At 52.7% G+C, this 8,611-nt stretch overlaps 1 long non-coding RNA gene across 1 annotated transcript, besides 4 other annotated features; it reads left to right on the forward strand.

Annotated features, from left to right (window-relative positions):
- The first annotated feature begins 2,188 nt into the window (after window positions 1-2,188).
- On the forward strand, window positions 2,189-4,789 carry LINC02724 (long intergenic non-protein coding RNA 2724). Its single transcript, NR_073177.1, has 2 exons — window positions 2,189-2,784; window positions 3,029-4,789. It is a non-coding gene; the product is annotated as a long intergenic non-protein coding RNA 2724 (long non-coding RNA).
- Window positions 2,528-2,777: an enhancer, noted in NCBI's record as "active region_4904". NCBI's record gives its function as "activates an Ori minimal core promoter by ATAC-STARR-seq in GM12878 lymphoblastoid cells {active_cell/tissue: GM12878}" and the evidence as "EXISTENCE:reporter gene assay evidence [ECO:0000049][PMID:35858748]".
- Window positions 2,528-2,936: a biological region, named in NCBI's record as "ReSE screen-validated silencer GRCh37_chr11:64217054-64217249". NCBI's record gives its function as "regulatory_interactions: NRXN2 | RASGRP2".
- Window positions 2,667-2,936: a transcriptional cis regulatory region, noted in NCBI's record as "silencer region targeted for CRISPR/Cas9 deletion". NCBI's record gives its function as "negatively regulates NRXN2 and RASGRP2 gene expression in K562 erythroleukemia cells {active_cell/tissue: K562}" and the evidence as "EXISTENCE:knockout evidence [ECO:0001091][PMID:32094911]".
- Window positions 2,714-2,909: a silencer, noted in NCBI's record as "fragment chr11:64217054-64217249 (GRCh37/hg19 assembly coordinates)". NCBI's record gives its function as "represses an EF-1alpha promoter that drives an FKBP-Casp9 reporter gene in an ReSE screen in K562 erythroleukemia cells {active_cell/tissue: K562}" and the evidence as "EXISTENCE:reporter gene assay evidence [ECO:0000049][PMID:32094911]".
- Window positions 4,790-8,611: the final 3,822 nt, after the last annotated feature.

The following is an 8,611-nucleotide window of genomic DNA, read 5'->3' on the forward strand; positions in this document are numbered from 1 at the left end:
TCAGCCTCCTGAGTAGCTGGGACTACAGGCATACACCACCACGCCCGGCTAATTTTTGTATTTTTAGTAGAGATGGAATTTCACCATGTTGGTCAGACTGGTCTTGAATTCCCAACCTCAGGTGATCCACCTGCCCCGGCCTCCCAAAGTGCTGGGATAACAGGCGTGAGCCACTGCGCCCGGCCTCATCTTTTTCTTAAACCTTCATTTCTAAGTGAAATGGCTTCTACTCTTAATTCCTGATTTTCTTCACTTTCTGATCTCGGATTTGAGATCTCACTTGCTACCATGAAAAATGAGACTTTATTTTCTTACCATCCACACTTCTATTATCTGTCACTGCTCAGCCTCTTTTAAATCTATGGGCCCCCTCTGTCTTTTCTTTTCATTTCTTTTCTTTTCTTTTCAGATGGAGTCTTGCTCACTGCAACCTCTGCCTCCCGGGTTCAAGCGATTCTCCTGCCTCAGCCTCCGGAGCAGCTGGGATTACAGGTGCACACCACCACATCTGGCTAATTTTTGTATTTTTAGTACAGAAGGGGTTTCACCATGTTGGCCAGGCAGGTCTGGAACTCCTGACCTCAAGTGATCTGCCCACCTCAGCCTCCCAAAATGCTGGGATTACAGGCGCGAGCCACTGCACCCCGCCCGTTTTTTTCTTTTCTTTATAAAAGTTGAAATACACTAGCTGTATCTAGTTTCGGGATGTGCATGATAATTGGATACATTCCTATAATCAAATCAGGGTAATTGGGATGTCCATCATCTTAAATATTTATCTTTTCCTTGTGCCAGGAACATTAGGATTATTCTTTTCTAGCAATTTTGAAGTGTACAATCGATTAATGTCACCCTACTGATCTATTGAACACCAGATGTTATTTCGTCTATGTAAGTGTGTATTTGTACCCACTCATCAACCTTTCTTCATCCCCTCCTTTCCCCCTCCCCTTCCTGGCCTCTAGTAAGCAGGTTGCTGTTGCAAATTACGTATTGAAGAAACTGGCGCTTTGTCCTATGGTTGCCTGCAGTCTGGATTTTGCTGGTCACGTCCCCTTAGCTTTGTTGAGCAGGCTCCCCAGTCCCTGTATTTCTTGTAATTTGATAGTTGGCAAACTTTTTCCATAAAGAGCCAGCGAGTAAATATTTTGGGCTTTGTGGGCTATAACAGTCTCTGTGGCAATTCCTCAACTCTGCTGTCACAGCGAGGCCGCAGCCAGAGACAACATGTAAACAGCGGAGCAGGGCTCCGTTCCCACAGCGCGGGATCTGGGTCCCAGTTTGCACAGCCCTGAGTCGAGGGTGGATCCAATCCAGGTCTGATACAGCATTTCAATGGTGATGCCGCAGCCTTCCACACTGAGGCACTTAACACCCCATTGTTCCCAATTGCATTTTAACTGAAAAAATACAAAAAGAGATCAAAACTGAAAGTGCAGTTTCCTCATGGTCCCACCACATTTTGGAGAAGTGTATAAATGGAGAAGTGAAAGCTCCATCTTCTGCCCCTTCCCCATGAGAGAGCCTCTATTCACAGCCAGGTCAGTTTCTTCCAGACTGTTAACATCCGTGTGAGTGCACATGTCTACACTGCGTGGAGCCTGCCTGCTTCCTGCCCCGCAGGCGTGTCTGCTGTGGGAAGGCTGGAGTTCTGACCTTCCCCCTCCCCCTCTGGGTGACAGGTGGCTCAGTTCTCTTCCCTGCCACGTTCAAGACCAGGTTGGGGGAGGGGGTGAATGTCACTATTCCCCTGACTGCCACTGTGGAGAGGGGAGACCCTCGCCCCTTTTCTGAATTTTTCCTTACCCCTTTCCTTGGAATAAAGCAAACACCAGACCCAAATGGATTTTAAGTGACACTTTCCCAAGAGTCTGGAGAGGGGACAGAGACTGGACGTGGTGTGTCCTGCCTGAGCCGAGTCATCTGGTTACGAGGGCAGGGGCAGGCTGGGGTGGGGCTCATGCGCCCCGGAAGCACCCTGGCTCCTCGCTCTCCCATGCCTCTCCCTTTATGTCCTCTGCTGTCCAGCGCCTGGGCCCCGGCCCTCCCTGGGACACCATCCTGCCCTGCCCGAGTCGTGGCTCTCCAGTCTCTTTCGGGGACTCGCCCCTGGCACCCACTAGATGGCGCTCCCGGCCACTCAGCTCCCCCTGCCTCGCTTGGGGTGGTGCTGGACGTCGGGAGCGCTGGCCTCTGCTCTGCTGATTTGCAGGTGGGAGTGCAGGGTGAGCCCGGCGCAGGGGATAGGAGGTGGGGGAGTCGAGAGCTGGAGTCAGGCGCCGCTCACGCTGGGATGACGGAGTGTTAACCTCAGACTCTGGGTCCCTTTGGGCCGAAGCTTTAAGAAAACAGGGGCAGCGAGCCCGGCGTCCCAAGGAGCCTTGCCAAACTGGGCATGGAGAACGGGCCTCCTGGATGGCCACCCGCCCAGCTGCCAAAGAGGCCGGAGAGCTGGAGCCGGGACTTGGAGGATCTTCTTCAGAGAGGCAGGAGGGCGGTCCGAACGTGCCCCCACCCCTGACCTCAAGCCCATGTGGAGAGGGCCAACAGAGCCTCTTGGAGAGCTGGATTTGCGTCCTCTGCAGCTTGGGGGACACGTCGTTGATGGTGACTGACACGCCCCAGAGATAGTGACATGATGATTAAGAGTGACAGCCTGAGGGAGCTGAGCGCAGCATGGCTGGTCTGGCAGCTGCTGTCGGTGTCGCGACCCCACCCCACTTCCCCGGCTCCCTGCCTCCTTCGCTGGAGAAGCATCCTCAGCCAATGGAGCCACAATACCTGGTACGTTCAGGCGACGCCCACAGCCCACGGCTAACTGTACAAAAGACTGTTCCCTCGCCTGCCTCTAGATGGCGATACCTCTGCCCCAGGGCCCCCTGCATATCTGCCAGAGCTGTATTTACCCTGGGACCACGCCTTTACCGAGTCCTTTCTCCTTCCCCGCCCCTCTGCCCTCACATCCTGGGCGGCTTGTCCCAGGATGAGCCCTCCCCTAGTAAATCCCTGTCTTGGGCTCTGTTTTCAGACAGCTGAAGGCAGGGAACAGCAGGAGGGGCCCCAGGAAGCTGGCCCCAAGGACGGGATGCTGCAGGAGGATGCCCCGCTGGCCCCTGGTGACTGGAGCCCGTTGCGGAGGCCCCTGGCACGAGGTGGCAGAGCAGCTGCTCAGGCCTCCGCCTGTGGTCACCTGGGACAGGACTCAGGTGGACGGGGATGCCCGGCTCGTTTAATATCACTGATGTTGAGAGACAGATGGGAAAATAGCCGTGAGAAGGACGTGGAGTGGGGAGGCTGTCACTGAATACTACTGACACTTAGAAGAGGGAAAATGACAAGTTCAGGGCCACGCATCACCAATTTAAAGCAAAGTCAGGATTCCTTGGCAGAATTTAACGAAATGCTTCTCTTCTATAGCCAGGGGTCAGAGGGCAGAAGACAAGGTGCAGGACTCCAGAGAAGGCCAAATTTCCAGCCCAGGGAAGTCCCTTCTCCAAAGTCAGGGCCCCAAAGGGAAGGGTGGGGTCCCTGATATCTGAGATGGACTATCTGAGGAGACACTCTTGAGACATTGAACCCCCAGATTCTCCTGTACCTCCTGGCCTGCAGAAGTGACCCATTGCCTCTGTTGGAAGACAGAGGTCCTCTTTTGCTTAAAGACCATGCAGAAACTAAGGGAAGGGACCTTACAAGATAAGGAGTTCCTCTCTCCAGCATCTGTCCCCACCTCCCCTCCTGACCACCAGGCTCAAAGCTGGATCATATCTCAGCATGACCTGACCAAGGATGTGCTTTGCATGCCAGGGACCAAGAGGGATTAACAAGCAGAGGAGTGGTGGGAGCAAGCCAGCAGGGACCAGCCGGGTCTAGAGAATGTTCCTAGATGTGGACTCTGAAGGTTCTAGATCAAGGGAGGCTGCATAGTAGCTGGAGACTGGAGAGTTAATTAGTACAGAAAGACTCCCTAACCCCTAAAAAGGCCCTGGGAAGATTCTAATATGTTGCTTGGGAGGGTTCTTTTTTTTTGAGACAGAATTTCTCTCTGTCGCCCAGGCTGGAGTACAGTGGTGCGATCTTGGCTCTGCAACCTCCACTTCCCAGGTTCAAGCGATCCTCCTGTCTCAGCCTCCCGAGTACCTGGGATTACAGGCATGCACCACCATGCCCAGATAATGTATTGTTTTTTTTTTTTTTAGTGGAGATGGGATTTTGCCATGTTGGCCAGGCTGGTCTCGAACTCTTGACCTCAAGTGATCTGTCCACCTTGGCCTCCCAAAGTGCTGGGATTACAGGTGTGAGCCACAGTGCCCAGCACTTGAGGCAGTTCTTGAAAGCTTGGAAGAAGTGATAGTGCATAGGCGATGAAGTGGAGATGTCAGAACAGCCCTGGAGGAAGGTATGCAAAGTCTCAGAGAAGTGGACACGCCAGAATGGCTCTTCTATTGTAGGTTGTACAGGAAAACAGTGTGACAAGAGTGATGCCATCTTAAAACCGCCATATGATGATGAATGTTTCACCCCCATATACCAAGCTGCTCTGCAGTAAGCTCTTTAAACAATGCCTGTACCATACATAACCCTTTGTAAAGATGCTTAGCTAACCCCCTCCCCAAGTGGCTATGAGTTTTGCATTAAAATCGGAGATATGGCCACCTGCACATGTTTTACCCTAAAAGCTTGCTACATAAAAGTACTTTCTGCAGGGCAGATGTGGGGATCTACCATTTTGTGGCAGCCCGGAACATCGCTTCTGCTCCTAAGTCCCTATTAAATATTTCTTTACAAGAAACTGGATTTGTCAGCCTCTTTCTTCAGCCTCTCAGCTCCCTCGGCCTTTGCAGGTAGATTTGCACAGACCTGTTCACCACGAAACAGGGTGGAAAACCCACCAGCTGGCCATGTTCTTTGGAAGGTTCCAGCTCTTTACCCAAATGATAAGGCCTGAGCTGTCGAGGAGACATTGGCGTTGCTGAGCAGCCCTGTGAGGGTTGCCCGGGCCTGGCAGGGGTGGGCTGCCATGGATCTGAGCTCTCCCATAGCCACAGGGACAACTGGATTCCCGAGTAGCACAGGTCAAAGGGCAGCACTTAACTGTCTGTCACAAGCAAGGGGGTGAGAGGATCAGAATGGACAGCAGGGTTGGGACAGCCGCGGGGGAGCCTGCCCTGCCCAGCCTATGGAGATGGCTCATAGGACATAGCATTTCCAGGGGGAAGGTGTCTAGGCAGCCGGCAAGGATTTTGTTCAACAAATAGAATGAAAAGCAACCAAGAATCGATGAGCAGAAGTCCAAGGCCGGATGCCCCAACAGAAAGGAATGATCCCCTGCTGTTTCCAAATCTGAACTTGTTCTCAATCTCAGAATCCATCAGTGGAAGAGGGGCAGGTCCCAAGAGGAAGGACCCCGCAGCCATACCATCCCCCAGGACTGTATCGGTTTCCTGGGGCTGCTGTAAAAACCTGCCCCAGACTGGGTGGCTTAAACAATAGAAATGCATTGTCCTGGCCAGGCACGGTGGCTCACGCCTGTAATCCAGCACTTTGGGAGGCCAAGGTGGGCGGATCACAAGGTCAGGAGATCGAGACCATCCTGGCTAACACGGTGAAACCCCGTCTCTACTAAAAATACAAAAAAAAAAAAAATTAGCCAGGCGTGGTGGTGGGCGCCTGCAGTACCAGCTACTCAGGAGGCTGAGGCAGGAGAATGGTGTGAACCTGGAAGGCAGATCTTGTGGTGAGCCAAGATCGTGCCACTGCACTCCAGCCTGGGCGACAGACCGAGGCTCTGTCTCAAAAAAAAAAAAAAAAATGCATTGTCTCCCACAGTTCTGGAGACTGGAAGTCCAAAATTGAGGCATCAGCAGGGCTGGCTCCCTCCGAGGGCCGTGAGGGGTGTCTGCGCTGCCTCTCTTCTAGCTCCCTGGCAGTCTTAGGCGCTCCCTGGTTTAGAGATGCATCACCCCGACCTCTGCCTTCATCTTCCCGTGATGTTCTGCCCATGTGCTTACTTGTCTCTGCGTCCAAATTCTCTCCTTGCCCCACCCATTTTTTGTTTTTTGAGACAGGGTCTCACTCTGTCTACACTCCAGGATGGAGTGCAGTGGCACGATCATGGCTTACTGCAGCCTCGACTTCCTGGGCTCAAGCGATCCTCCCGTCTCAGCCTGCTGAATAGCTGGACTATAGTTGTGCACCACCACGACAGCCTAATTTTAGAAATTTTTAGAGATGGGGTCTTGCTGTGTTGCCCAGGCTGGTCTCAAACTCCTGGCCTCAAGGGATCCTCCCACCTCCAATTTCCCCTTTTTATAAGGACACAGTCGTAATGAATTAGGGCCTATCCTAATAACCTCATCTTAGCTTGATCATCTGCAAAGACTCTATTTCCAAATAAGGTCTCATTCACGGTCCTGGGGATCAGGATTTCCCCAGTACCGGGGGAATGGTGGAGGCATGATCCAACACATAACAGGGAACTTAGCCATTTTCTCCAGCAGCCGTACACTGGGAAGAGGGCATGGCCAGCTCTGGTCCTGTGGGAATTGGGTGGATGGAGTTAGAAAAGCAGGGGATTTATGGAGGTAGTACCTGTGACAGGTAAAGGAGGGGGCAGGAGGGGGCTGGGGACTTTCAGGCTCTGAGGAGGGTCTGACACCTGTGAGAGGAGATGAGGAAGGAAGGAGGATTGGGTAGGAAAAGCCTTGGACTGCAGTGCAGCTTGGAGGGAGTCTGGCCAGCCCAGCAGGGGCTCTGGAACCAAGATTGCTCAAAGAGGAGTCCCACGTTGGGAAGGAATGCCAGGGTCTCCTACCCCTGCTGCAGGTAGGCACTGGCTGGGAGCTGCCTGGGGCAGCATGACCTTGGCTCAAACACTGTCACCCATTGTGGAGGCTGTCAGCTCACTGCCCTGTGGCAAGGGGGTGCTGAGTGGCATCTCCAGGGCTGCCACAAGGGGGTTTCCCAGATCTTTCAGGGACTTTTGGATATAGGGTTCAGATTGACATTGACACCCAGGGACCCAAAGGCTGTCATGTTAACCATAGAGTAAAGATGTAATAGGAACCAGGTAATAAATGGAGTCCTGGCCTAGGTCCATCTCACAATAGGCCTCCGGTGTGTCCAGAGACGTACCATGTGGTCATTCCCCCAGCTCCTGAATGTGTAAATGGAGTAGAAATTCCTGGCAGGTGGGAGAACCTTCATGTTGGTTCCTTGACCTATAGCGTGTGAGCTGTAGCGTTAGGCCCGATGGAAGCCCCTGAAACTGCCTTTCTCCTGCATCCCCCTCCCCACTGCCCCAGAATACGACACAGTCAATATTGCATTTGTGGAGGAAGGACAGAGATTAGTGCCATCTTCAGAGACTTAAGAATGCAGAAGAGGCTGGGCACCGTGGCTCACGCCTGTAATCCCAGCTCTTTGGGAGGCCGAGGCGGGCAGATCATGAGATCAAGATCATCCTGGCTAACACGGTGAAACCCTGTCTCTACTAAAAATACAAAAAAATTAGCTGGGCGTGGTGGCGGGCACCTGTAGTCCCAGCTACTTGGGAGGCTGAGGCAGGAGAATGGCGTGAACCTGGGAGGCGGAGCTTGCAGTGAGCCAAGATCGCGCCACTGTACTCTAGACTGGGCGACAGAGCGAGACTCCGTCTCAAAAAAAAAAAAAAAAGAATGCAGAAGGAGGGTCTTTGTCATAACTCTATTGAGCACACCAGTGTGGCCCCTGCAAAAACCATGTGCATTGATGCATTGTGGCATTATTGGAGAACCACGAATTTAACAGAGTGTTCTCCCCAAGTGTATCTTTTTTTTTTTTTTTTCCAGAGACAGGGTATTGCTGTGTTACCCAGGCTACTGGAGTGCAGCTGCACAATCCTGGGTCACTGCAGCCCTGACCTCCTGGGCTTAATAGATCCTCCTGCCTCAGCCTCCCGAGTAGCTGGGACTACAGGTGTACACTAGCATGCTTGGCTAATTTTTGTATTTTTTGTAGAGATAGCGTCTCCCTACTGAACTCCTGGGCTCAAGTGATTCTCCTGTCTTGTCCTCCCAAAATGCTGGGATTATGGGCATGAGCCACCGTGCCTGGCCCGTGAGTGCATCTTCTCTGAGAAATGGAGCATCTTTGCTGGAGCTGGGTAAGGTCATCACGGATCTATAGGATGCAGCTGTGTACATTCACGGCCTTACCCCAGGGCTACGTCAATTTTCCTGTTCTCTATCACAACATAGTCTGAAGGGATCCAGCCCATCGGGGCAGCCTCCAGGCCACCACATTGGTCAGTGCCAGGAGCAACATCGTGTTAACCAGACCTACAGAGCAAGAAGCAGCAGGTCCCTTGGAAGCTTTCGTAGAATATGTGGGGGAGGAGGATGGGGGGTTAATGGGAAGGCTCAGGGGCTGCCATGCTGTAGGGGTTTGACGGGGCCAGTGGTCTGGCCATGTCGGGCTATCTCCTGCAAAGTAAAGGGTGGTTACTGCACCTGTCCTTCCTACCACGTGGAAGGAGGCACGACTTCTGGCGGGACTCTTTGAATTTGGGGGTGGCATACTCAGCACTTGGGAATCCAGTTTTGGCCCATTTCTTGAGTGACACAGAAGGCTGCTA

This window comes from Homo sapiens, chromosome 11 (assembly GCF_000001405.40).
Source record: "Homo sapiens chromosome 11, GRCh38.p14 Primary Assembly".
In the NCBI taxonomy this organism is placed as follows: domain Eukaryota; kingdom Metazoa; phylum Chordata; class Mammalia; order Primates; family Hominidae; genus Homo; species Homo sapiens.